At 53.3% G+C, this 27,059-nt stretch overlaps 2 protein-coding genes across 20 annotated transcripts in view, besides 6 other annotated features; one reads left to right on the forward strand and one right to left on the reverse strand.

Annotated features, from left to right (window-relative positions):
- The window catches only part of DTX1 (deltex E3 ubiquitin ligase 1), a 41,296-nt gene extending 16,525 nt beyond the window's left edge, over nucleotides 1-24,771 (forward strand). Inside the window, exons 3-10 of the mRNA NM_004416.3 lie at nucleotides 4,170-4,851; nucleotides 19,908-19,969; nucleotides 20,285-20,446; nucleotides 20,784-20,845; nucleotides 21,535-21,693; nucleotides 21,788-21,949; nucleotides 22,071-22,160; nucleotides 23,461-24,771. Of these exons, the coding sequence (NP_004407.2) occupies nucleotides 4,170-4,851; nucleotides 19,908-19,969; nucleotides 20,285-20,446; nucleotides 20,784-20,845; nucleotides 21,535-21,693; nucleotides 21,788-21,949; nucleotides 22,071-22,160; nucleotides 23,461-23,685 (1,604 nt within the window). The 3' untranslated portion in view covers nucleotides 23,686-24,771. The remainder of the gene's footprint in view (nucleotides 1-4,169; nucleotides 4,852-19,907; nucleotides 19,970-20,284; nucleotides 20,447-20,783; nucleotides 20,846-21,534; nucleotides 21,694-21,787; nucleotides 21,950-22,070; nucleotides 22,161-23,460) is intronic.
- Nucleotides 9,448-9,507: an enhancer, noted in NCBI's record as "active region_7059". NCBI's record gives its function as "activates an Ori minimal core promoter by ATAC-STARR-seq in GM12878 lymphoblastoid cells {active_cell/tissue: GM12878}" and the evidence as "EXISTENCE:reporter gene assay evidence [ECO:0000049][PMID:35858748]".
- Nucleotides 9,538-9,647: an enhancer, noted in NCBI's record as "active region_7060". NCBI's record gives its function as "activates an Ori minimal core promoter by ATAC-STARR-seq in GM12878 lymphoblastoid cells {active_cell/tissue: GM12878}" and the evidence as "EXISTENCE:reporter gene assay evidence [ECO:0000049][PMID:35858748]".
- Nucleotides 13,570-13,659: a silencer, noted in NCBI's record as "silent region_4889". NCBI's record gives its function as "represses an Ori minimal core promoter by ATAC-STARR-seq in GM12878 lymphoblastoid cells {active_cell/tissue: GM12878}" and the evidence as "EXISTENCE:reporter gene assay evidence [ECO:0000049][PMID:35858748]".
- Nucleotides 20,114-20,163: a silencer, noted in NCBI's record as "silent region_4890". NCBI's record gives its function as "represses an Ori minimal core promoter by ATAC-STARR-seq in GM12878 lymphoblastoid cells {active_cell/tissue: GM12878}" and the evidence as "EXISTENCE:reporter gene assay evidence [ECO:0000049][PMID:35858748]".
- Nucleotides 24,238-24,779: an enhancer, noted in NCBI's record as "H3K4me1 hESC enhancer chr12:113535297-113535838 (GRCh37/hg19 assembly coordinates)". NCBI's record gives its function as "activates a minimal SCP1, AML or CMV promoter by ChIP-STARR-seq in naive H9 embryonic stem cells {active_cell/tissue: H9 hESC(naive)}" and the evidence as "EXISTENCE:reporter gene assay evidence [ECO:0000049][PMID:30033119]".
- Nucleotides 24,996-25,255: an enhancer, noted in NCBI's record as "active region_7061". NCBI's record gives its function as "activates an Ori minimal core promoter by ATAC-STARR-seq in GM12878 lymphoblastoid cells {active_cell/tissue: GM12878}" and the evidence as "EXISTENCE:reporter gene assay evidence [ECO:0000049][PMID:35858748]".
- RASAL1 (RAS protein activator like 1) overlaps nucleotides 26,024-27,059 on the reverse strand; it is a 37,479-nt gene continuing 36,443 nt past the window's right edge. For all 19 annotated transcript variants that reach the window (XM_047429676.1, NM_001394082.1, NM_001193520.2 and 16 more), the window contains one exon: nucleotides 26,024-26,814. In XM_047429676.1, coding sequence (XP_047285632.1) covers nucleotides 26,675-26,814 — 140 coding nt within the window. In that variant the 3' untranslated portion in view covers nucleotides 26,024-26,674. The remainder of the gene's footprint in view (nucleotides 26,815-27,059) is intronic.

The following is a 27,059-nucleotide window of genomic DNA, read 5'->3' on the forward strand; positions in this document are numbered from 1 at the left end:
GGAAACTGAGGCCCTGAGAGGGGAAGACCAGCACACAAGAGCAGGTGGGAGCAGGATCCAGGGTTTTCTCTCTAACTCACCTCCTCCCGGGCCTACTGTGGAGGAAGCCCCATCACCAGGGAAGAAATCAATCTGCACACACTCAATTAAAATGATAAATCAGGCATCAGAGTGAGGCTGCCCCAGAGATGCAGGGGAAGTTTTTGTCTGATTGGCTGGAACATGGTAGGTGCCCAGGGACCTTATTTCCTGGGGCTGGGCTGCCAGTCCAACCTCTCCACCTCTTCAACCCCGCCCCTTTCATATCAATAGCCATAGCTCCGTGCCTCGATTTCTCCAGCTATTGGGGCCTGTCCAGTTGGCAGGGCACAAGGCTAGTCTGTAGCCCTTGTGATTCTAACAGAGGAGAGGGCAGAGGACAAGCTCTTTCAGCCCTGAGTAGGGACACACCAGTGTGGAACAGTCTGAGTTCCCCTATCTGGTTGCAGATCCCTGGGCCAGGCACCCGAGGAAGATGCCAATTAACAATGGAAATGCCTTCCAGGTTTTGAGGTCCTACTGTGTGCAGGTACTGTGCCAGGTGCTGGGAGTACAGCAGTGAGCAAAGCAGACAAGATCCCTGACTTTGCAGCTGACAGCCTAGAGTGAGGATACGCAGCATAAAGAATGCATGCAGATTAATACATCATGTCACAGCCTGGCGCAGTGGCTCACACCTGTAATCCCAGCACTTTGGGAGGCTGAGGCAGGTGGATCACCTGAGGTCAGGAGTTCGAGACCAGCCTGGCCAACATGGTGAAATCCCGTCTCTACGAAAAATACAAAAAAAATCAGCTGGGTGACACATACCTGTAATGCCAGCTACTTGGGAGTCTGAGGCAGGAGAATCGTTTGAACCTGGGAGGCAGAGGTTGCAGTGAGCCGAGATCACGCCACTGCACTCCAGGCTGGGTGACAGAGAAAGACTCTCTCTCATATATATATATAGTCAGTCAGGTAATGCCAAGTGCCAGGGAGGAAAATAAAGCAAGCTCAGAGGACAGCAATAGGAGGGCTGCACTTTTAGATGTTTGAACACACACCTGTAAGAAAGAAGGGAGGAAATGATGAGAACATCTGGGAATGGTGAGGTCATATTCCAGGCAGAGGGAACAGCCAGTGAGAAGGCCCTGAGGCTGGACAGTGCCTGGTGTATTTGAGGAACAGCAAGGAGGCCAGGGTGGCTGGAATGGAGTGAGTGATAAGGGGGAGGTAGACAATGCCAGAGGAGGACAGGGCCCCACAATGTGTGATTTCGTTGTAGGTCATGGCAAGGACTTTGGCTTTTACTCCAAGTGAGCGGAAGCCAGGAAGGATTTTGAGCAGAGGAAAGATGTGATCTGACTTGCATTGAGCAGGATCCCTCTGGCTGCGGTATGGGAAATGGATTACAGAGGCCAGTCATGAGTCTACTGCAATGGTCCAGGCAGGAGAGATAACATGGCGGGGACTGGGTGGTGTGAGTGCAGTGGGGAGCAGTGGTCAGATGTGGATGTGTTTGAAGGTGGAGATGACTGGATTTACTGACAGATTGGAGGTGGGATATGAGGTAGAAGTCAAGGATGAGACCAAGATTTGGGGGTCCAAGGAAGAGCATCCGGAAGCGCAGGAGCTGCCAGGAATTGCTATGTGAAGACTTCAGGAGGAGCAGGTTTGGGGCAGGGGAGAGCAGAGCTGAGTTCAAGGTGCCTGTTAAACCTCTCCAGGGAAGGGTCATGAACCTGGCTCCCAGGGGAGAAGACGGGGCCAAAGATGGCAGATTTTGGAATCATCAGAGTAGACACGGTATTTATCTCAATTGATCCTCTCAGCAACCCCACAAGCAACTGTTGCTACAGCTGGCAAACGCAGCAGTCTTCTATTGCATGTCTGCTTATGCCCATTTTCAACATGAGAAAACTGGGGCCCAGAGATGCTGAGTTGCCTACGCACAGTCACAGAGCTGGAAAGTCAGAAAGTCAGGACTTGAAGTGAGGGCTGTCTGCCTCCCAGCCCTGGGGTCCCACCCAGACCCTCTGCAGCTGTTCTCACTCACTCCTCCCCCAAATACTGTGTGAGAGGGAAGGGCTGGGTCATGGATGATCACCCCTCTTTTTGAGATGGGGCCACTAAGGCCTGAGGAGGCTTAAGGGACTTTCCCGCAGTTGAGGGGAAGTCAAGTGTGCAGCCTTTCTGCAGGTGTGCCAAATGAACCCAGCAAAAGACTCACTTCATCAGCCCCAAGACACAGAGCAGGCTAAAGGCTCTGAGAAGTCCTGCGGCCTGGACCTTGGGTTATCTCTGGTTAGCCCAGAGTTTCCCGTGGAGCCTTGCTGTCAGGGGAGCACGCAGAGCTTTGGCAAACATGAAGCTGTGGTTTGGAGTAAAGCCTCAGTGCCCTCCTTTATGAAAGGGGGCCCACCTGGCAGTCAGCAGTTGTTTGTTGAAGGAAGTAACAAATGAAACAAACAGATGAATGAAAGTAACAAATAAGCAAATGAAGGAATGGACGAATGCAGGGATGAGCACAAAGTGTGAATGAATTAAAAAAAAAAGAATCCATTTGTGACCTAATGAATTTATTCATTCATTCAACAAATATCGCTCGAGCACCTGCTGTGTGCAGGTGCTGGGGATATAGCAGTAAATAAAACAAAATCCCTGACCTTGTGGCTATTACATTCTAGCGAGGGGGGGACAGACAGAAACCAAGATAAATGGGTAGAATGTGAAGTATATCTGAGGGAGAAAATGGAGCGGGGAAGGAGAGAGGGGAAAGTACGTGGGGGGTGCACATTTTTAAATAGGATGATGGTAAATGAAGGAATGTCTGAATGCCTGAATACGGGAGTGGGCTGAAGATGGAGAATACATAAAGGTATCAATTTAAAAAAAGCATAAGGGGCCCAGGGGCGGTGGCTCACACCTGTAATCCCAGCACTTTGGGAGGCTGAGGTGGGTGGATCACCTGAGGTCAGGAGTTCGAGACCAGCCTGGCCAACATGGCAAAACCCCATCTCTACTAAAAATACAAAAATTAGCCCAGCAAGGTGGTGCATGCCTGTAGTCCCAGCTACTCAGGAGGCTGAGGCAGGAGAATCGCTTGAACCTGGAGGCGGAGATTGCATTGAGCCTAGATTGTGCCACTGTATTCCAGCCTGGGCGACAGAGCAATACTCTGCCTGGAAAAAAAAAAAAAAAAAAAGTGGGGCCGGTCATGGTGGCTCACACCTGTCATCTCAGCACTTTGGGAGGCCAAGGCGGTTGGATTGCTTGAGCCGAAGAGTTTGAGACTTAGCCTGGGCAACATAGGGAGACCCCTGTCTCTAAATAAATAAATAAAATAAAATAACATAATGGATGACTGCAGGCACGAATGAATGACCTAAGGAAAGAATCAATGAATGAATGAATCATTGAATGAAGGAATATATGAATATGTGAACTAGGGCATGGATAAGTGAATGAACTAATGCAAGAATTGTTGAATGACTAAATGAAATAGTGCTTAAATTAATGAACTAAGGCATGAACAGATTGATGAATGAATCATTGAATGAGTGAGCAAACTATAATGAAGAAGAGGACTGCATGGGGCCTATGTGCATGGCCTTGGTCTCTGTCTATGCCTGCCCCACTTTATCTGACTCTGGTCTGAAGAACCCCCAGGCCCCCTTTGCCCTCCCCCGCACCATCCAGGGCCTGTGATAACCCCCACTTCAGTGTCTGTCTTGGCCCTGGAGAGGTGGAGGGTGGGGGAGCCCTCCACACCTTGCTGGTTTCCTACCCCAGGCTATCTTGGCACCCCCACCCTGTTTGGTGGCTCTCCCGCCCCTACGCCCAATCTACTGACCACGCGCCCCTGCCCACCTCTCGCCCCAGTGCTATGCGCTGAACCTTTAGCCCCGGCCCCCCTCACCCTGGCTGCCGCCTGTCCTGACCCTCCAGCCTGTGCTGAACCTCATGCCTGGGCCTTGACCTCCTTCCTCTCCGTGCATGTGTTGACCCTCTCCCCAAGTCTGGGTGGACCCCCTGGAGGCCTGTGCTGACCCCCCAACCTCCCGCCCACCCTTGCCTGGCTGTGGCCCGCCCTTCCAGCCGCGCAGACCAACGCCCGCTGTGCTGACGCCTCCTCCCCATTTCGAGTACAGGCACCATGCGGCCCGTGCGGCGCAACTTCTACGACCCGTCGTCGGCGCCGGGCAAGGGCATCGTGTGGGAGTGGGAGAACGACGGCGGCGCATGGACGGCCTACGATATGGACATCTGCATCACCATCCAGAACGCCTACGAGAAGCAGCACCCGTGGCTCGACCTCTCATCGCTAGGCTTCTGCTACCTCATCTACTTCAACAGCATGTCGCAGATGAACCGCCAGACGCGCCGGCGCCGCCGCCTGCGCCGCCGCCTGGACCTCGCCTACCCGCTCACCGTGGGCTCCATCCCTAAGTCGCAGTCGTGGCCCGTGGGCGCCAGCTCGGGCCAGCCCTGCTCCTGCCAGCAGTGCCTGCTGGTCAACAGCACGCGCGCCGCCTCCAACGCCATCCTGGCCTCGCAGCGCCGCAAGGCGCCCCCCGCGCCCCCGCTGCCGCCGCCGCCGCCACCTGGAGGGCCTCCAGGCGCGCTTGCCGTGCGCCCCAGCGCCACCTTCACAGGCGCCGCGCTCTGGGCAGCGCCCGCCGCCGGCCCCGCCGAGCCCGCGCCGCCTCCCGGGGCGCCCCCACGGAGCCCGGGCGCCCCCGGCGGAGCGCGCACCCCGGGGCAGAACAACCTCAACCGGCCCGGGCCCCAGCGCACCACCAGCGTGAGCGCGCGCGCCTCCATCCCGCCGGGGTAAGACGGGGCCCAGGGGGAGGGGGCCTCTGCGTCGTCCGCAGGCAAGGACGAAGCCCGGGGGTGGTTGGCCACTAGGGCAGGAGCAAAGATTACAATAATAATAATGACGATAAGTAATATCCAGCATGCACTAAATGTTCATTTTGTGCCAAGCATCAACTAAGCACCTTTACATGTTCCCACACATCTATCTCCATGCATAAGGACCCTATGAGGTAGGTACCATCATCACCTCCAGTTCACAGATGAAGAACTAACTCCCCCAAGATCAGACAGTTCACAAGTGATGGGGCCATAATAGCAACATCAGCAATGGTGCGTGTTCCATGTTTATTATTTGCTAAACCCGTTATATGTATCACCTCGTTTATTCTGCCAAACAGTTCTACCATGTGCATATTATAGATGGGGAAACCGAGGCTAGGAGAGCTATGGTGCCTTCTCATTTATTCCACCAAACAGTTCTACCATGTGCATATTACAGATGGGGAAGCCAAGGCTGGGAAAGCTATGGTGCCTTCTCAGGGTCACCGGGGAAGGGTAGACATTGGAGTCCAGACCTGCCCAATTCCAAAGTCTGTGCTGTGTTGTCTTAGGATTTTTAGAGGGCTTCAGAGTCCATCTGTCCTTGTCCCAGTCCATGCCCACCTCACATGGTGGCTCGAGCAAGCATCAGCTGCTTGTCCAAAGTATTTCCCCATAGGCTGCACCTGAAATACCACAATTACTCTGGGTTAATACTATGGTTTGCACACTGGGCTCCAGGGACTCCCGGGGTGACCTGGAATCGTGGGGGGTGGGGTAATAGAAAGCCAGGCAAACGAGAGTCTGTCTCTCTGCTCTTGTTTTAACCAGAGCAGCCCTTTTTGGAAACACTTTTATGAACTGGCTTTCTCAGCATGATTTTATTAAGGATGGGCACCCAGCTTGTATCAAGTTTGCAAATTCTTGGGTTAAGGTGTCCCAGGCCCCAGGATAGGGACCCAGTGAGCTGCTGTTGGGTGCCTACCCTGGACTCCAGATTCAGTCATCTGAGCAAAGAACCAAGCCCTGAGGGGTGGCAATGAGAGGAAAGATCAAAGACCTTGAACTTGGGACAGACCAGAAGAGAAAAGACCAGGGGGGTTTGGACTGTGGTCCCCAAGAGGAAGAGAGGGCACCCAAAACCAACTGTGCTTCAATCACTATGGCATGGCCGGGGGAATTGATAATGATGGTCCGAGATCACCAAAGCTCAGATCTGGATGCGACCTTTGGGGTCACTGCATCCAGCTCACCCCTTTTATTATGGGCAAACAAGGCCTGGGAAAAGGAAAGGCCAGGACCCTGAACTAGGTGGCCCTATTCACCTTTTGTCCCTTTGGGAGTCTGACTTCCTGGGTTCGAATCCCCTCTTGGCCACTTCTCTTTTTTTTTTTTTTTTTTTTTTTTTTTTTTGAGATACAGTTTCACTCTGTTGCCCAGGCTGGAGTGCAGTGGCACAATCTCCACTGACTGCAACTTCTGCCTCCAGGGTTCAAGTGATTCTTCTGCCTCAGTCTTCTGAGTAGCTGGGACTACAGGTGCATGCCACCATTCCCGGCTACTGTGTGTGTGTGTGTGTGTGTGTGTGTGTGTGTGTGTGTGTGTTAGTGGAGATGGGATTTCACCATGTTTCCCAGGCTTGTCTTGAACTCCTGACCTCTTGTGATCTGCCAGCCTTGGCCTCCCAAAGTGCTGGGATTACAGGCATGAGCCACCATGCCCGGCCCCCTTCTTGACCACTTCTGAGCTGGGAGACCTGGGACGAGTCCCTCTCCTTCCTTGAGCCTCAGTTTTGTCATCTGTCAAATGGGAGCAGATCTTCCCACCATGTGAAAACGCTGTGTACCTGAACACAGCATCTACACTGGCAGTAGTTCAGCCATGGCCGTTAGGACTACTTTTGCTCTCCAGGAGGAGGGTTGGCATGGAGGGCGGGGAAGCTGTAATTTTCCAGGGATGCATCACAGCCACTACCACCTGCCTGCCTGGTCATTCCTCTCGGAGGAGAGGGTCATGGGGACAAACAGAGGTGTGTCCCATGTGACCTCAGCCTAGGGCAGGCCCAGTGCCAACAGAGAGCAGACTTGAGGGGGTCAAAGAAGACCCCTTGGGGAAGCCTTGTCCAAAGCTGCAGGATAGAGTCACTGAGATCTCAGGGAGATCTCAGGGGGCTGAAGTATCAGTTATGGCCCCTTATAGACAGCAGCTGGGCTCTGGCTGCCTTACAAAAAGAGGGGCTGGAGGTCCCAGAATGACAAGAAGAGTGGGTCCTAGAATGACAGGCTAGGGGGAGTGTGGGAGGGGACAGAACCAGAAAAATTCCAGGGACCTCTGCAGTAAGAATTTGAGAACCTTCTCTCTGGGTAAATTTATTGTAACCCACAAGAAGACTGGAAATCAGAAGGTTAAAAGAAAAAAAAGAAATCAGAAGGTTGTAGCCAGAATTTTCTTGGAACAGAATGGAATGGAATGGAATGGAATGGAACGGAATGGAAAACAGAATAGAACTAGAATAGATTGGCATGTGTAATACATAGTAAAAATAAGAATTGTTACATGTAGCCTGGGAACAGTGCCTCATGCCTGTAATCCCAGCACTTTGGGAGACCAAGGTGGGTAGATCACTTGAGTCCAGGAGTTCAAGACTAGCCTGGGAAACATAGCAAGACACCATCTCTACAACAATAACAAAAAATTAGCCAGGCAGGGTGGTGTGCTTGTAGTCCCAGTTACTCGGAAGGCTGAGGCAAGAGGATCACTTGAGCCCAGTAGGTCAAGGCTGCAGTGACCTGTGATCACACCACTGCACTGCAGCCTGAGAGACAGAGCAAGACACTGTCTCAAAAAAAAAAAAAAATTGCTCCATGAATGTTTTGCATCATTTCTGCATATGTTTAATAGGTTGCGAGGTGAAATGAATTTCTTAGTCACTGATGAAATATTTGAGGCGGGCGTAGTGGCTCACTTTGGGAGGCCAAAGTAGGTGGATCACTTGAGGCCAGGAGTTCGAGACCAGCATGGCCAACATGGTGAAACCCCATCTCTACTAAAAATACAAAAATTAGCTGAGCATGGTGGTACACACCTGTAATCCCAGCTACTGGGAGGATTGCGTGAACCCGGGAGGTGGAGGTTGCAGTGAGCCGAGATCACGCCACTGCACTCCAGCCTGGGTAACAGAGTGAGACTCCGTCTCCAAAAAAATTAAAAAAAGAGAGAGATTTGAAAGCTACTGTTCTAGAGGAGGCTGAAAATTACTCAGCTTTCATGGCCTAGTGTTAATTCTCCAAATATGTGCTGTGGGTGTGTATTCACAGAGCTGAACAAGACAAACAAGGCCTGTGTCCTCCCGGGGCACACAGACAGATGGGGAGACAGACCTACAGCAAGCAAAGAGTAAATGAAGACGATCTCTGGAGTGAGACAGAAGTGCTGGGGAGGTAGTGGGACAGGGTGATGTGGGAATTCAGGGAAAATCCCTCTGAGGAGGTGGCCAGATGTGGAGAACAGCTGATCCATGCAGAGGGAACAGCATGAACAACTTCAAGGGGGCTCGAAGGGCGTGGTGTGTTCAGGGAAGGGCTAGAGGTGTGGGGAGGGCTGGAGTGAGGCGCCAGCAAGAAGGAGAAGGGCACCCCAGGCAGGGCATTGCAGGTGCAAAGGGGCAGAGGTAGGAATGAATCCAGAAGGTTCTGGAGACCACCGGGGGATAGAGGCTCCCTTCTGGAACAGTGGGGGCTGAGATTTTTTACCCCAAATGGGGGTACAAGGCCAGGTTGGGTGGCCTCAGGGAAGCCTGGGCTTGGTGCTGCCATCAGTGGGGAGCTATAGAGTGTGCTTGAGCTCTAGAGGGCTGTAGTGAAAAGGAAGTTTTCTCTTTGGGGGTGCGGATCATTAAACATGTCCTCCTCTGACCTGCCAGAGCTCTGTTGTCTCCAGCCACATGCCGCTCCCCCACAGCCGACATCATTTCTCCTGCCCCTCCCCTTGGGGACTGTTTCTGACCCTCCCTGAGCCCAGACATTGGCCTGGAAAACAGAAGATGTGGGGTGGGGGAAACTTCTCAAGAACTCCCTCATCCCTCCCCACCCACGCAGATGCTGCCCAGCCTCACTCCAGCCCCTCTAACTGATCCTCCCCAGCCAGACAAGCCCGGCTCAAAGTCCCCAACGCTCCATCTCCAAGAAACCCCCCGGGGAAAATCCCTCTGGCTCTCAAGACCCGTGGAGCCTGTTGCTGGGGAAGGGGAGTAGGAGGAAGGAAGATAGGGGTGGCAGACCCTGGCTTCTTCCGCCTAAAGCTTTCCATTGCTGAGACAGCTGAGGCCCAAGTGCAGCCTATGAGGGGAAAGGGATGGAGGTGGGGGGTCTTTGAGGAGCCAGGCAGACAGGTCTACCCACTGTCACTCTCGTCCCCAAACCACCTCCCAGCCCTCCCAACCCTGGTCTCTTTGTTTCTGTGTCTTTGTTTTTTGTTTTTAGAGACAGAGCCTCGCTCTTATTGCCCAGGCTGGAGTACAGTGGCGCAATCACAGCTCCTGGCAGCCTGAAACTTCTGGGCTCAAGAAATCCTCCTGATTCAGCCTCCCAAGTAGGTGGGACTACAGGCACGCACCACCACACCCAGCTAATTTTTTAAAATTTTTTGTAGGGACAGGATCTCACTATGTTGCCCAGGCTGGTCTCAAACTCCTGGCCTCAAGCATCCGCCTGCCTCAGCCTCCAAAAGTGCTGGGAATTATAGGCGTGAGCCACAGCGACTGGCCTGTCTCTATGACTTTAAGTCTGTATTAGTTTGCTGGGGCAGTGGTAACAAAGTAACAGCTTAAACCACAGAAATGTATTCTCTCTTTCACATTCTTGAGACTAGAAGTCCGAGATCACGGTGTCACAGGGTAGTTTCCTTCTGAGGCCTCTCTCCTGGGCTTGTAGATTGCATCTTTTACCTGTGTCCTCATATGGTCTTCCCTCTGTACCTGTCTGTGTCTTAATCTTCTCTTCTTAGAAGGACATCAGTCCTATTGGATTAGGGCCCATCCTAGTGACCTCATTTTATCTTAATTACCTCTTTAAAGACCCCGTCTCTAAATACAGTCACATTCTGAGGTCCTGAGGCTTAAGGTTTCAACACATGACTTCTTTGGGGCACAGTTCAGCCCATAACAATGTGTCTGTGTGTCTCTCCTTTTATAATTTACCAATACTTTTTTTTTTGAGACCGTCTTGCTCTGTTACCCAGGCTGGAGTGCAGTGGTGCAATCTTGGCTCACTGCAACCTCCACCTCCCAGGTTCAAGTGATTCTCCTGCCTCAGCCTCCCAAGTAGTGGAGATTACAGACACCTGCCACCATGACCGGCTATTTTTTGTATTTTTAGTAGAGACGGAGTTTTGGCATGTTGGTCAGGCTGGTCTCGAACTCCTGACCTCAAGTGATCCACCCACCTCGGCCTCCCGAAATTCTGGGATTACAGGCATGAGCCACTGCGCCCGGCCAATTTGCCAATAATTTTAATGGCAAAAACCACCATTTCTTTTGCACCAAACAATATCTCTGTGTGTCTTGGTCTTTTTCAGTCTTTCCATATCTCTTTGTAGCTCTGTGTCTCTCTCTCTCTTTCTCTGTCTTCTGCCTTTTCCTCTTAGTCACTCTCTTTCCTTCCCTGGCTTCCTTCTGTCCACCCTCCTTCTCTCCCCTCCTGGACCCAAACAGATCCAGAGCCCTTTACAGGTTGGGTGACCTTGGACCCACTTGAGGCTTGGCCTCTCTAGCCTCAGTCTCCCCATCTGTCAGACAGAGCTAAAACCACCACCTCTCACATGGGCAGACTCAGCAAGGATCAGCTTGCAAGGGAGGTGTGAACTCTGCAGAGATCTTCAATGTCATTCTCACCTCCAACCTCATCTCAGCCCTGGACGGGTAACAGCGAAGGAGGCCCAGAGAGGGGGATTGGCTCATCTAGGGTCACCCAGCCAGTGGGGGCAGAGTATCCACCTGGCCAGGGTTTTTTCCACTTGCCCCTGTAACAGACAGGGCGGGGAGCCAGCTGGCAGCCTGGGCCTGGGGGACCTGCGGGGGTGGGGAAGATCCGCCCTGTCCCCTGAGGGGTCAGTGTCCAGTGCGTTGGAACACAGCTGTGGAGCAGAGGAACCACACTCAGAGTTTCCACCCCACGTGGTGGGTGGGAGGACAGTGATAGCTGCGGGCCTATTTCCATTTATCGAGCGCTCCCTATGTCCCAGGCTCTCAATTTCATGGCTTTTTTGTGTGTGTGAGACAGGGTCTCACTCCGTCACCCAGGCTGGAGTGCAGTGGCACAATTATAGCTCACTGCAACCTCGACCTCCTGGGCTCAAGCAATCCTCCTGCCTCAGCCTCCTAAGTAGCTGAGACTAAAGGTATGCACCACCATGCCCGGCCAATTTTTTATTTTTGTAGAGATGGGCGTCTCACTATGTTGCCCAGGCTAGTCTCAAATTCCTGGGCTCAAGTGATCCTCTCGCCTTGGCCTCCCAAAGCACTGGGATTACTGGCATGAACCACTGTGTCTGGCCATTTACAGGCATGTCTCTCTTAATTCTCACAGATACTCAATGTGGCAGGTTCTATAATCCCCATTTTTCAAATGAGGAAACTGAGGCTCCAGAAGACTAAGACATTTGCACAAGGTAACACAATTAGGACTCAGATTCAAAAACCCAAGTTGACCAGCATATTGGGGATGCCCCATCTCCAGCCAGCCTGTACTGTTTTGGATCATGGTCCCAGAAGCCCCACCCTGATTCCTGTGTGACCCTGCCTGAGCTCATCTTCCTCTCTGGTCTTCAGTTTTTGCATCTGTGAAATGGGACTGGCAACACAGGCCCACATAGTCCATCATGAAGCCAGATGTCAAAGCACTTGGATTTCTCAGGCCCGTACCCTTTTTTTTTTTTTTTAGATGGAGTCTCACTTTGTTGTCCAGGCTGGAGTGCAGTGGCGAGATCTCCACTCACTGCAACCTCCGCCTCCCAGGCTCAAGCAATACTTGTACCTCAGCCTCCTGAGTATCTGGGACTACAGGCGCACGCCACCAACCCGGCTAATTTTTTATATTTTTTGTAGAGGTGGGGTTTCACCATGTTTGCCAGGTTGGTCTCCAACTCCTGACCTCAAGCAATCCACCCACCTTAGCCTCCCAAAGTGCTGGGATTACAGGCGTGAGCCACAGTGCCCAGCCAGGCCTGCTCCCATTTTAAATCCACCCTTGTCCCTCCCATCTCTATCAGATTTGTACAACATTGCCAAGCTGATAATTCCTAAAGAGACGTCATTTAAGTTTCCGTACCCTTGGTTCTTAGTTGAACCTGAGAACTTTTTCCTGTTTACTGGCCATGAGTGGTTCCTTCTTTTGCCAATTACTTGTGTATTTCTTTGGCTTATCCTTCCCTGGAGCTGTTTATTGCTTCCTTATTAATTTGCAAGTGTTCTTCCTGCATTAAGGGCATTAACCCTTTGTCTCCCATCTTTTCTGTAGTTTGCTGTTTCTTTTTCCTTTATAGCATATGTTCATCTGTTTTTTAATTAATTCATTCATATTTATTGAATAACTTCTGTGTGGCAGGCACTGTTTGGGGCCCTGGGGACACAGCAGTGAACTAAACAGACAGTCCTTGCTCTCTTGGAGCTCACATTCTAGTGGGAGACAAACACGAAACAGAATAAATTAATTGTAGAATATGGTAGAAAGTAGTAACTGCTACAGAGGAAAAATATAGGAGAGAAAGGATGTAGGGAGTGATGAGAAGAAAAGGCCTCATGGAGAAGGTAATACCTTCTTGAGCAAAGGTGGAAGGAGGTTAAAAAGCAAGGTATGGTCCAGGCACTGTGGCTCACACCTGTAATCCCAGCACTTTGGGAGGCTAAGGTGGGAGGATCACTTGAGCCCAGGAATTTGAGACCAGCCTGGACAACATAGTGAGACTCCACCTTTACAAAATTTTTTTAAATTAGCTGGGTGCGGTGGTGCGTGCCTGTAGTCCCAGCTACACAGGAGGCTGAGGTGGGAGGATCCCTTGAGCCCAGGTTGCAGTGAGCCAAGATCGAGCCACTGCACTCCAGCCTGGGTGGCAGAGCAAAACCCTGTATCAAGAAAAAAAAAAAAAAGCAAAAGAACTGGGGGAAGAGCATTCCAACATGCCAGACAGCAGAACAGCATGTGCAAAGGCCCTGAGGCAGAGTGGGTCTGGGGTGCCTGAGAAGGCCAGTGTGGTTGGAGAGGCTCAGGGCAATCGGTGGGAAAGAAGTAAGAGAGGAAAAGGCGCCAGGTCACACAGGGTCTGGAAGGTTGCGGTTAGGACTTTGGCTTTTGCTCTGCATGAGAAGGGAACCAGCAGGGCTGTGTGTTGGGAGAGACGGGTGGGACTGTTTTAACAGGTTCACTCTGAATGCTGAGCATAGACCGCAGTGGGGCTGAAGCAGGAGGCCAAGGGCAAAGGGACTTTGTTGTGGTGGGTGTGTTTTAGGGTTTTCCTTCCTTTTTTTTCCTTTTTTCTTTAAATTTCTTGCAGTGATTTTATGCTTTTATTTTTAAAAAATCCACATTTTCTTTCTCCAGATCTTCCATAAGTATTACATTTCAGGGGTTTGAAAATGTTAAAGTACTGACAGGTACACTGTGAAGTCAAGGACCCCACCAGGCCCCTGGCTGCCCACCCTCCCCCACTTTTCTGCCCCGCTAGCCACTGGTGTGCAGTGACTGTCACCCCGCCTCACCGCTGCTGCAAGGTCAAACCAAACACTCCCCCCACCCTGCCCCCCACCTGAAGCACTTCCTGCCCTGCTCCCTGGGAGACCAAACCACACACACTCCTGTCTGCACGTGGCTGCCCCGGGCCGTGGGAACAGCCGGTCCTGCCCTCCCCTCCCCTACCTGACCGGTCCTCCCTGCCCCCAACCATCTCCTCCCGTTCCTTCCCCCGCAGAGAGCTGGGCAGGCTGGAGGACCGGGAGGGTTGAAGAGTGACCCCCGCAGCCCCCATACCTCTAGATAAATCTGAGCCTCCAATACCACTCACACCTCAAAATGTCTCCCGAGGGGACTTTTACATCCTTTAATCTCTAGAACATGGAAGTAAGGGGTCTAGAAGACAGAAGTAAGGGGTCCCATTTCACAGAGGGGACACTGAAGCCCAGAGAAGCTCAGAGGTTTGTCTAGGCAGACGGAGGTGCTGGGGTAAGGAAAGGGGAAGTGAGGACCCCAGACAGCAGCTGAGGAGGAGTCCATGGGCACCTGGTCCCCCGGGCTTGCAGCGATGTCCTTCAAGTCTCTGCAGTGGGGGTGGCGGCAGGGACTTGGCCCCAGGCTGTGTTCCCCAGGACTGTGGGGGGAGGAGGGGGAGAAGGCAGCTATGAGGCAGAGACAGCCCTGAAAGTGGGGAAAGGTGACAGGCTCACACCCCTAGAAAGGAGAAAGGGAGAGGGTGGGGGGTCCCTAAAGCACTGTTCAACTTCCTTCTCCCCATAAAGTGACATCCTCACTTCTGCCCCCTCCTCACCCACTTGGCCCCAAATGACTGAGTCCTGAGGCTCCTGGGGCTCTTTGGGGTCTGCTGGGTAAGTGTGAGGTATCCTGAAGGGGGCCAAGGCCAATGGGGGACCTGGAAACTAGCATCAGAGAAAGTAACAAGTCTAGGCCTGCTGGGGGTGGGAGGGGAGAGATAAGGAGACCAGACTTTGGAGGAGGGAGGGGACTTGGCTGCCCTAAAGGGAGGGTCAGTTGTCAGTGTTTCGGGATCCTGGACCCCTCTAGGGGACAGAGAGAGGTGGCCAAAGCAGGCCAATGGATCCAGTTAGACAGCCCTGATCTACCCTGCCCAGGCCTGAGCCAGCTCCAGGATCCAGGTCAAAGACTTCAGCCCACCTGTAGAGCACAGAGGGCTCTCTAGGCTGGCTCAACTCCAGATGGCTCCACAGACCAACCTGGCAGGGTCAGCCCTGGCCCCTGACTCGGAAACTCCAGGACCCAGTGCCAGCTGCACCACCAACCAGCTGGGTGACCTTAGTGAAGTCATTTCCCTTCTCTGGGCTTCAGTCCCATCATCTGCAAAATAAATGACAAATAGAGTTCATCTCATGTGCCATCTCTGCTCCAGGGCAGTGACTTCCTGGAGCACTGTGTTGAGGAGGATTCTGAAGTTGCATCTTGGCTTAGCGGTAAGGCATGCCGAAATTGATTAGTAATGCCTGCTGTGGGTGCTAGGAGGACAGTAGTGGTATGCACTCATATATTTGACATTCCTGCTCTAACTTTGTCTGGCAGAAGAGGCGGCGTGGACCAGATCATACAGGGCCTGGTCATGCTTAAAGAGGGATAACATTAGGAGATATATCTAATGTAAATGATGAGTTAATGGGCGCAGCACACCAGCATGGCACATGTATACATATTTAACAAACCTGCACGTTGTGCACATGTACCCTAGAACTTAAAGTATAATTTTAAAAAAAGACTATAATGTCAGGTCGTGATTAGTGCTATGAAAAAAGAATTCAGTAAGGTAAGGACAAAGATGGGCTTTTTAAAAATAAAGTGGTTGCGGCCAGGCACAGTGGCTTATGCCTGTAAACCCAGCACTTTGGGAGGTCGAGGAGGGAGGACTACTTGAGCCCAGGAGGTCAGGTCCAGACCAGCCTGGGCAACACAGCGAGGCCCTGTCTCCTCAAAAGTTTTGTTGTTGTTGTTGTTGTTGTTGTTTAAGCTGGGTGTGGTGGTGTGTGCCAGTAGTCCCAGCTACTCAAGAGGCTGAGGTGGGAAGATCGCTTGAGCCCAGGAGTTCAAGACTGCAGTAAGCAATGGTTAAGCCACTGCACTCTAGCCAGGACAACAGAGCAAGATCTTGTCTATAAATAAATAACTAAATAAAGTGGTCGGGAAGGTGTCTCAGATAAGCTGACATTTGAGCAGAGACCTGTGCTAAGTGAGGGAGTGTGCCATGAGGATATCTGGGAAGAGCACCTTGGGAAAGGGTCAGCAAGTGCAAAGGCCCTGGGGTGGGAGTGTGCCTGGCATGCTTGAGAAAGAGCAGAGAGACCAGGGTGGCTGGAGTGGAGTGGGAGAGGGGTGAACACATAGGAAATGAGGTTCAGAGGGTAGATGGGGGCCAGATCAGGAGGCCAGGTGTTAACTGTGAGCAAAGTGGGAGCTGCAGGAGGAGTGAGAGCAGAGGACAGATGGGATCTGATTTGGGACTGGGAAAGGCAGAGAGGCTTGCATGGCAGTGGGGCCCATGCCTGCCTTCTGGTCAGAGTAGATTTCGGGGAGGGCCTGAGGGACTCCTCAGGTCCTGTGCCAGCCTGGGCCCCCAAGAAGGCAGAGCTAGGGGTGAAGGCTGGCTCCCCTTCCGGGAGGCCCGCAGGCAGCGGTCGCTTGTCCAGGCAGGAGGATGTTCTCACTGACTCGGAGGAAACAGCGTGTCCCACATCAAAAGGGGGCCGGGTGGCTCCCACGCTCAGGGTTCGTGGGAACTCTGCTACCCTGGGTTCTCGCAGGAGGCCTGCAGTTAGAGAGAAGCTGGAGACTACCTCGGGACTGTCCCCCAGGCTCACTGATGGGTAAATAAATAACAGTCCCACAGTGACACCCCACTCACAGTGCTCTTCCCAGGAGCAAGACTGACTTTTGTAATCTAGGGCTATGTGGTATTTAAGGGGCTCCAGAAATTTTAGGGCAGCTGAGATCTAAATCCTTCCCTTCCTGGAGTACCCTCTGTCTAACTCCTAGACCAAACACTCAGCAAGAGCAGGGTTACCCACTGGGCCAGACTGGGCATTATATAGACCTGGGGTAGCAAACTGGCTATACTGATTGATAGAGGCTGCTTGGAGAGCTGTACTGAGGACTCTGCTAAGCTTGAGAGAGTGCTGTGATGGATTAGTGATGTCTGCCACAGGCAGGAGACCAACCAGTGGTGGTATGCATGCTCAATATTTTTCTTTCCACCCAATTTATAGGTAGTCCTGGAGAAAAAAAGAGATACTTTCTTCTTGTGAGGCAGAAAGGAAGAAAGAGGGGTGAGGCAGACCTAGACTTAACCAGGTTGTCTGCACTAGAGGTGCTTGAAGAATGGGCAGGAAAGAGGAAAAGCTTGAGGGAAATGCCTCTATGCATTCCTATAAAAGTATAGAGAGGGAGGAAGTTAGAGTGGTGACAGCTGCCCCCCTGAGGAAGGCCCTGGAGGATTATGACAGACCCTGAGAAGGGTCAAATGAATACTCAGTGCCCCTCTTCCTGGGGCCCCCCCGCAGGGTGCCCGACAAGAAAATCAAGACACCTCCACTCTCATCCCTGCGCCAAATGATGAGCTTTACATGTTTTAGCACATTTAACTTTCACAGGACTCTATCCCCATTACAGGTGGGGAAACTGAGGCACAGTGCTTTCTTCCCACCTCCACTGACCAGGTCCTGGGGGACCCAGGGTACCCGCCATCCCATCCTGCCTCCCTCGGGAGCTGTGTTCATTGACTTCCATCACACCGGCGCCTCCTCAAGGGGCTCAATCCAGATGTCTGCTCCAGACCTCTCCACAGCCCTCAGAGGGGTCTGGGATGGGAGTCCTGGCCACGTGATACTATCCTGTATAGCCGAGCAGCCACCAAGTGGGTGTGTGTGCGCTGCACCTGTGTGCATGTGTGATTGTGCCTCTGCATGTGTGCAGGTGTGGGCCTCCCAGGCTGAGTGTCTGTGTGTCAGTGTCAGGAGGTGTGGGTCAGAGCATGTGCGCATGTGTCCTCGTGTGCAGTGAGTCAGCGTGTCCTCCTGCGCCCCCATGCATGATGTGAATCAGTACGCACGAGTACTTCCCCACAGGCGGTGCGGAATCGTGTGTCCGCGTGTGGACGGCAGGCCGTTCTGCAGGCTGCAGCGCGCCGGGGGCTTGTAGGGCTGAGCGCATGCTCCTCTGGGTTTGCTGCCCACCTTACCCAGCTCTGTGCAGCTGGGGAGAGGGGCGGCAGTAGCAGGTGCGGTACTGGTCTACATGAGCCACCGACTCTTGTCCAATGGAGTATCCTCCCAGGGGAGAGCTGTGTGTGCTTCTGTGTGTATGTGTGTGTCCCCGTGTGTGCACAAGTCTCTGTATGTAGGTGTGGGGAGGCATTCCCTGGAATATGTGAGTGTGTGTGTATCTTAATCCATGTATGTTTGTGGGGGGCGTGCCCTGAAGTGTGCCTGTGTGTATCCATGTATATGTTCATGGTGTGCATTCCCTAGTGTGTGCGGTATGTTCCCCAAGTAGACGGATGGGGAGGGAGGCTCCCTGGTATCTGTGTGTCTGTGTGTGCATGTATCTGTGATGTACTCCCTGGGTTGTGTGTGTTTGTGTGTCTGTGTACTTAAACATGTGTGTGTAATGTGTCCCGGGGAGTATGATAAGTCTGTGTGGTCTTCTCCATGCATGTGTGTATATTTGGATCTGTGGATCTGTGTGGATGGTGTGTGCCCTGGGTGTGTATGTCTGTGTGTCTGCACCCACTGCAGCAGTACCCAAGCCTGCCAAGGGCACCATTTGCTTGAAGATGCTTTCTGGTGCCAACTGTGCCTGCCAAGGACAGGTGACCAGACAGCATTAGACAGGCTGTGACCTGAACAGGCACGGCCAGAGCCAAGGGGGCTGCTGCAGCTCCTTCTCCAGCTGTCACTGCTCCCAGCCCTTCCTGCCCCCTCTCCTGGCACATCCCCCAAGGCCTTCAGGCTGACCCCTGGATTTCAGAACACCCCTCTTCATCAGAACGTATCCAGCCTGGGTTCCATGCCCATCAACAGCAAGACACCAGTTCCCCTGCATAAACAGGTGCTGAAGTCAGGAGGACTCAGGCAGACACACTGTACACATCACCGCAAGCTCTCCTTCAGTCCTCCCAACGACTATAAGTGAGGTGTTAATATGCCTGTTTTACAGATAAGGTAACTGAGGATCAAGAAGTTAAGTGACTTGTTCAAGGTTGTCACTGCAGCAGTTTTGTGGTTTCCTCTCTAAGATGGAGAGAAGTTACACCAGGACTTAGTGCCTGGGAAGCAAAGAGGTGAAATTACTCGGCCAGGATTGCACAGCTGACAGTGATGATACCGATGGCTGTGCTTTTAGTAGCTGTTAGGTACCAGGAACTGTGCTTGGCCCTTGACACATATAATTTCACGGAATCCTCACAGCAGATTAAAAAAAAAAAAAGGTACCATATTGTCCCCATTTTACAGACCACCCCTTACAAGAGATGAGATGATGTGCTGTGTGTCGCCCAGCTCATTAGTGGTTGAACTGAGATATGAAAGCAGCTCTGGCTGACTCCAAAAGCCAAAGCTCTTTTGAGGGCCAGAGGAAGAGGAGAGTCAGGATACCTTTTCCTAGGGGCTCTTCATTTGAAGAGAGGATAGTACCTTGTCACAGAAACTGACATCAGTAAATATTCCAGAAGAGAAAAAAAATTCATCACCAAATGCTTTTGAAAACCTGGACTTATCATTGTTAATGATATGTTCTTACGCAGGGCTTGTCAGAGCCTTTAATATGCTCAGATATGTTGTGAATTTCAGAGAGGGAGACAGTGACGTGTTCCTAACTTACTTGATTCCTGAATCCTTCTTTCCTGGAACGTTTTATGGAAATTAATAATGCTACATCTAACAAGCTTTGAGAGATGTTAAAATAGCTACACCACTAGTAGTTGGGTTTCAGGCACAGCGGCCAACGAAAGGAGCCCTCAGAGCCAAAGCGCCCTCTCGAGGGAGGAGCCGGCTGTAGGGTAAGGAGGTGTCTGCACTAAAGTCTAAGGGTGCATCCCATTGGAACCTGGGCGGAGGTCCTGGCCACCCCCGCCCCATAATAGGATGTCAGAGTAGAAAGAGAGTTTCCTGGAGGTAACTGCAGTTGGCAGAGAGGTACAAAGAGGCCAGGGTGTGTGGCCCAGGAGCCAGAGACAGAAGGCAAGCCAGGTCCCCTGACGTCGCTTCGGGGGCTGGAGTCCAGCTGCGGCCTCTTCTCTTCTCCCCGCAGGGTCCCCGCACTCCCGGTGAAGAACTTGAATGGTACTGGGCCGGTCCATCCGGCCCTGGCAGGTGAGGTCTGGCCCAGGGCGGGAAAGAAGGGCGGGGCCCACTAGGAGGCAGCTCCGCCTGTCACCCGGTGACCCCGCCCCCGAGATGGGCTGGTGAGCGTGGCCCGGAGGAAACGCCCCCTTCCACTGGGCCCAGGACACAGGGCGGGCGTGGCCCGCAGAAAGGCCCTTCAGGGGCCTTCAAGGGGCTGAGTGGGTGGGGCCCAAGAGCGCAACCCTCCCACCCACCCGAGGGCCCCGGGATTCCCAGGGCCAGTGGTCGGGGGTTTGGGCGGGGATGGCGCCCCGCCCTGTGACTGCGCCCCCTAACCCCCAGGGATGACCGGGATACTGCTGTGCGCGGCCGGGCTGCCCGTGTGCCTGACGCGGGCCCCCAAGCCCATCCTGCACCCGCCGCCCGTGAGCAAGAGCGACGTGAAGCCCGTGCCTGGCGTGCCCGGGGTGTGCCGCAAGACCAAGAAGAAGCACCTTAAAAAGAGTACGCCCTCCACGCCCTGCCTCACACGAGATGAACCCCACTAAGCCTTGACCACAACTCTGTGACCCCTGGTCTCCAACTTATTCTTAGCATTTACTACCTCACCTCCATTGCCTGATCTCAGCTCCCCTTGCCCTGGCCCCATCTTTCACCAGCTCCTGTTACAGCTAACCTCCAGCAACCCCTGACCTCTGACCCTGGCCAACCCTTGCCAGCCTGACCCCGGCCAACCCTTGCCAGCCTGACCCCTGCCCTCTGACCCCTGACCCAGTTCTGAGCCAAGCCTTCGGGGACAGACTCTGGGTACCCTCAAACCCACCCCGCTGTGTCCCTGCAGGTAAGAATCCCGAGGATGTGGTTCGAAGATACATGCAGAAGGTGAAAAACCCACCTGATGAGGTGAGGAGGGGATGGGGGGGCTGGGGGAGGGCCCTGGCATGGAGGGGGCAGGAACCCTCACCCCTCCTCCTGGGTTCTGGGTGATACAGAGCTCTTCTAGTTTGTTCCTTTCTTCACTTTATGAGGTTTTTTGATGAATAGAAATACTTACGTTTAATAGACTCACATTTATCCATCTTTTGATGATTGAGTTTTTGTGTCATTTTCACCCATATTTTCCACTAAATGTTTTTAAGTTTTGCTTTTGATAGTTAAGCCCTTAATTCACCTGGGGGGTGGTGAGGGGAGCCATCTTCCTCTGTGATATATCAGAATTCAATATATGGGAAGGGGCTGGGTGCAGTGGCTCATCCCTGTAGTTCCAGCTACGTAGGAGGCTGAGGCAGGAGGATCTCTTGAGCCCAGGAGTTTGACTCTGCAGTGAGCTATGATTGCACTGCTGCACTTCAGCCTGGGCAACAGAGCCTGTCTCTTAATAAAAATAAATAAATAAAATAAATAAAATAACGAAGAAGAAGAAAAGAAAATAAAACAATGTATGGGGCAGAGGGTGTGTCCTGTCTCCCTTTGCCAAATGGGTACCAGAGAGAGTGTGGTCTGCTGCCTATGGTGACCCACCAAGGGGCAGTGCTGACCCAGTAGGTGCCCTGCCCTCCCCAGTCCTCAGTCTCCCCTGCTGCCACCTGCAGGACTGCACCATCTGCATGGAGCGACTGGTCACAGCATCAGGCTACGAGGGCGTGCTTCGGCACAAGGGCGTGCGGCCTGAGCTCGTGGGCCGCCTGGGCCGCTGTGGCCACATGTACCACCTGCTGTGCCTCGTGGCCATGTACTCCAATGGCAACAAGGTGGGTTGGGCGGGACAATGGCTGAGGAGTGGGCAGGGAACGGAGTGGGGTTTGGGGGGGTGCTGGGAACTCACTGCCAGCCTCCCCTGCCCAGGATGGCAGCCTGCAGTGCCCCACCTGCAAGGCCATCTACGGGGAGAAGACGGGTACGCAGCCGCCTGGGAAGATGGAGTTCCACCTCATCCCCCACTCGCTGCCCGGCTTCCCTGATACCCAGACCATCCGCATCGTCTATGACATCCCCACAGGCATCCAGGTGGGCTCCCCTTCCGCCTCTCTGGCCCCCAGCCCCCACACCCCTCCAACTCCTCCAGATGCTTCTCCACCCTGCCACCACCTGTTCATGGTCTAAATCCCTGTACTGTCCCTCTCTGCAGGGCCCTGAGCACCCCAACCCCGGGAAGAAGTTCACCGCAAGAGGATTCCCTCGCCACTGCTATCTACCCAACAACGAGAAAGGCCGGAAGGTGGGTGCCCAGCCGTGAGGGCATGGGAGATAGGCACAGGCAGGGGCTCCAGCAACCACTGGCCTGGGCCTGTGGTCCCCATCATTCCCAATCCCTGCTCTCACATTCCTCCCAAAAGCAGCACCCGAACAGTAACGACCACAGCCACCTCCTTCACACATCTTATCTCGTTTCCTGAGCCACTGAGGTCAAGATCCTGACCCCATTTTATAGACAAAGACACAAGGCTTCAGAAAGGGCAAGTCACTTGACTGTGGTCACAGAGAAACTAAGTGGCGGAGCTGGGATTTGAGCCCAGGCAGTCCAAGCTGTCACCACCACCCTACAGGTTGTCTGATTTGACTTTCTGCTTTTCAAGAGCACCAAGAAATCCAGATTTTCATGGGAAATCTCTAGGCTTTTGAATGTTAGTAACTAATTTACAAGTGGCTCTTTAATATAGTGTGGAGTCCAAACTAAATAGAGCAGAGAGCTGCCAGATGCTTTCTTCACCCCAGAAAAAAACAGGCAGGGCCGGGTGTGGTGGCTCATGCCTCTAATCCCAGCACTTTGGGAGGCTAAGGCGGGCAGATCACGAGATCAGGAGTTTGAGACCAGCCTGGACAACATGGTGAAACCCCGTCTCTACTAAAAATACAAAAATTATCCGGAGTGGTGGAGTGCGCCTGTAGTCCCAGCTACCTGGGAGGCTGAGGCAGGAGAATTGCTTGAACTCAGGAAGCAGAGGTTGCACTGAGTCGAGATCACCCCACTGCACTCCAGCCTGGGTGACAGAGCAAGACTCCATCACAAAAAAAAAAACAGGCAGGCCAAGCGCAGTGGTGCACACCTGTAATCCCTGCACTTGGGGAGGCCGAGGTGGGAGGATCACTTGAGGCCAGGAGTTTGAGACCAATCTGGGCAACATAGTGAGACTTGGAGAGGCTGATGTGGGACGATTGTTGGAGCCCAGGAGTTCGAGGCTGCAGTGAGCTCTGGTTGCACTGCTGCACTCCAGCCTGAGCAACACAGCAAGACTCTGCCTCAAAAAAAAAAAAAAAAAAAAAAAGAAAAAGAAAAAAAAGAAAAGGAAAGAAAAGAAAAGAAAAAACAAACATAAGTAACTTGGAAAGAGCTTTTACTGGAAGTTCAGGAAATACAAATGCAAAGGAAATGGCCAAGCCAGCAGTACGTAGTTGGTGCTAATGGACGAAGCCATAAGGTAGCCATGATGTGGCAGGGGAGGGAGGGAGGCTGAGGCTGGTGGGCTGGAAGCTGCCTGTGACCTCCTCCCGGCCCCACTGTGTCCCTGTCCCCCCAGGTGCTGCGGCTGCTCATCACGGCCTGGGAGAGAAGACTCATCTTCACTATCGGCACGTCCAACACCACGGGCGAGTCGGACACCGTGGTGTGGAACGAGATCCACCACAAGACCGAGTTTGGATCCAACCTCACGGGCCACGGCTACCCGGACGCTAGCTACCTAGACAACGTGCTGGCTGAGCTCACAGCCCAGGGCGTATCCGAGGCTGCAGCCAAGGCTTGAGGCCCAAGGCTGCCCACCTTCCCTCCTGCTTTGCCCCTGGTCCGGCAAATGCCTCCTTCGCCAGGTGTGTCCTGGTAGCCCAGGTTCAGGGCTGGGGAGGAGCCTGCGGAAGGGGCCGCAGCCATTCAGGGGACCTGCCTGGTGGCAGCTGGGATGAAGAGAGATGGCATGTCAGGCTGGCCCCGAATCATAGCTCCCTGAGAGGGCCAAGCAGAGAGTACTGGAAACCTCCCTACCAAAAAGACAGAGACCCGCCCCCTCACACACAAACACACATGTCCTGTTGAACTCATGCACGCACACCCACGTGCCTGTACTTGCCCCCAGGCTGGAAGAGAAGAGACAGAAAGACCCCATGACCCCCCCATGTGGATCCCCATCTGTGTCTCAGTTGCATCTGTACAGCCTTGTCTGCAAACTGGAGGATGCGGGGCAAGCCCTTAGGGGCCTGCCAGGGCTCGGGGGGCAAAGAGGGACTCGGGAAACTCAGTGTACCCCAGATGCCTCACCCATTCCGTGTCATCACCCATGTCTGCCACCCACTGATTGGGCAATTGTGGGCCCATGGGGTGGAAGCCCCCAGATGACTGAGCAGTTCTACAAAAGAATGGCCAGCACGAGCGGGGACTAGAGGGTCCTGATTTTGTGTCTGTGCCTCTTCATCTCTCTGGACTCTGATCTCCTTCTCCCTTCCCATCTCCAGGCCTTCTGTCTGTCCCAGATAAAGGCGCTGTTCTCCCATCCTCCCTACCCCATCCTCTCCACCAAATCGCTCCCAATTTTGAGAGCCAAAGGCTGGCGCTTCTGACTTCAGGAGCGAAAGGAGGAGGCCTAGTTTGGGCCGATGTATTTTAAAGCAGAGTGGACAGCAGAGAGTCAATTTCCCTTTCGTTGGGAGTGGGCAGTGGGGTGGCTAATTGTCTTCGGCCAACCAGGGGCCTGTTGCCCAGGCAACTCACCAGCTCCGCCTCTGCTGATTGGCTGCCACGGTGGGAGTCAGCCAAGATTTAAAGGGATGCCAGCGATTGCTCTTTTCAAAACCTACCAGTCCCACTGTGGGTGGAGAAATAAATGGTCTTTCTCCTCCTCGCCTGGTCTTTTCCTGCCAAGAGAGGGGTGGGTGGCTCTGTTCCTGGGGGCTGCAGTCAGCCCCGTTGGGGAGTGATGGCTTGCAAGAGAATGACTTCAGGGTCCTTGCCTCGGGCTGGAAGGGGTGGGGGCGGTGAAGCAGTGGCAGACCCTCCTAGTCCTAGTCTCCAAGAATGCAGAGGTGAAAGTGCCCTTCTCTTTCACAAGAGCACAAGGCAATGCACACATCTGCTCCCTGGCACAATGACAAGAAACAAGGAACTCAGGTGCAGAGCTGGGAGCCTCGAGGGAAATACGGAGGAGCTGGGAGACACTGTGATCAGCTCATCAGGATCTCAGAGCTTGTCAGGACCCTGTCCTTGGGGAGGAGGGTCAGGTTCTAACTAGGGAAAAACAGGGATGGACCCCAGCCTTAAATCAGCCTCTCTGCAACATGCCAGGACGCCCCTGTAGTTCTGGTGGATGCTGCGGCTTCGGGCAACCCCTGCTGGCCACCCTCGGGATAGCGCCGTGTCTTTCCTGGTCCACTTGATCCCCTGCCAGGTAGGCTTTGGTTTCTGTCCCACCCCCTAGTGACACAACACCGGAAACGAGTCCTTGGAGGCCCTTCCAGTTCTGCCAGTCACATGTTCCCAAACATTTGTACTCCGTGGTTCATTCTCAGACAAAACCTCAACCCAAACTCTGGCATATAAAATTGCAAGCCAGGCACTGACTCACACCTGTAATCCCAGCAACTAAGGAGGCCGAAGCGGGAGGCTCATTTGACGCCAGGAGCTTGAGACCAGCCTGGGCAACATAGTGAGACCCCCCATCTCTACAAAAATTTAAAAATTAGCCAGGCGTGATGGCTTGCACCTGTAGTCGCAGCTGCTCTGGAGGCTAACGTGGGAGGATCACTGAAGTCCAGAAGTTTGAGGGTGCACTGACCTATGATCATGCCACTGTACTGCAGCCTGGGCAACAGAGTGAGACCCCCAACTCTAAAAACAAAATAAAATAAAATTGCCCATTCCCCAGGCCTGTGGTCCTCAAAGCTGATACTCATCCAAATGACCTACGGAATCTGTTAAATAACCCTGATTCTTGCCTTCATATACCCTCAGATTCTGAGTCAGTAGCTGGCTGGGCCTCAGAAATCTGCATTTCTAGCAGACATTCTAGCGGGTGGTCTTTGGCCCACAGTCAGAGAAACTCCTCCCTTGTTCTTGAACTACCTCATTGGAATCCAGTTTGAAAACCACACATCTAGACTTTCCCTCCTCTTTTTATACAGGGTAATCTGAGACCCAGAGAGAGATAAACAGCCTGGCCCAAGGTCTCCCAGGCTCCAAGGGTCTGAGTTTGGCACACTGGACCCCCACCCAGCCTTGGTTCTTCCTGAGGGCACCTGATTCTGGAAGCTTGTGGTTGGAGTCCTAGGCCAAGGGCAGGGTACAGAAGAATCAGTGAGGTTATAGGGATTAGCAGACATGAAAACAGGAAGGAGTGAGGCCATTTAGTGCCCATCTGGGGCAACAACATCACATGGGCATCAGGAATTCAGGTCCAGCTGTATCCAGCAGCTCAGGGCCAGGCTGGCCTCCTTGGTATGGATAGAGGCCAGTTTGGTGAAGTAGAGACCCCAGTCTCAGTCAAATAAGTCAGGTTCCTTATCCTATCCACTCCAGTCTGAATCAAGCCAGAGGGCAAGTTTCACTCAGTGCAAGGCTGGCCCCTGCCAAAGGGCTTCCATGCCCTGAGTTCTGGACTCAAGGCACACAGGACTAGGCACGTCTCTGGGAGCCTCCAAACCACAGAATCAAAGAGGTCCAAGGAGACAGGAGACTCCCGGGGCAGGATGCGCTGAAGAGGGCCCCCTGGCTCTTGCTCCTCCTTCCGGGCTAGCTCTGGCATTTCCTTAGGGGCCAAGGGGGCCCAGGGCCGCCTTCCCTCGCTCCTGCTGCTGGAACTCCTCGTGGGCACGATCCAGGTCTGCGAGCACCTCCAGCAGGCGGGCAGTTGCTGCTCTTTGCCGGGCCAGGACCTCAGGACAGGCCCCTAGGAGGGAGACAAGAGGCCACAGGGGCTCAGCCAGTCCAGGGCAGGCTGCTGTAACCCGGACCCAATGGTTTCTCATGCTGAAGATGTGCCTTGTGCCCTGAGAACCCTAAAATCCTTGAGAATCCCCACACACAGCCCTGTGGCCTGATAATGGACTGGAAACAGGAGGACACAGGAGACAGTGGGGAAGTGCCTGCGAAGAAAAAGGGACCTCCTTAACCCCTTAGCTTCTTTTTTTGGGG

The sequence above is a fragment of the Homo sapiens genome, chromosome 12, assembly GCF_000001405.40.
Source record: "Homo sapiens chromosome 12, GRCh38.p14 Primary Assembly".
Classification (NCBI taxonomy): domain Eukaryota; kingdom Metazoa; phylum Chordata; class Mammalia; order Primates; family Hominidae; genus Homo; species Homo sapiens.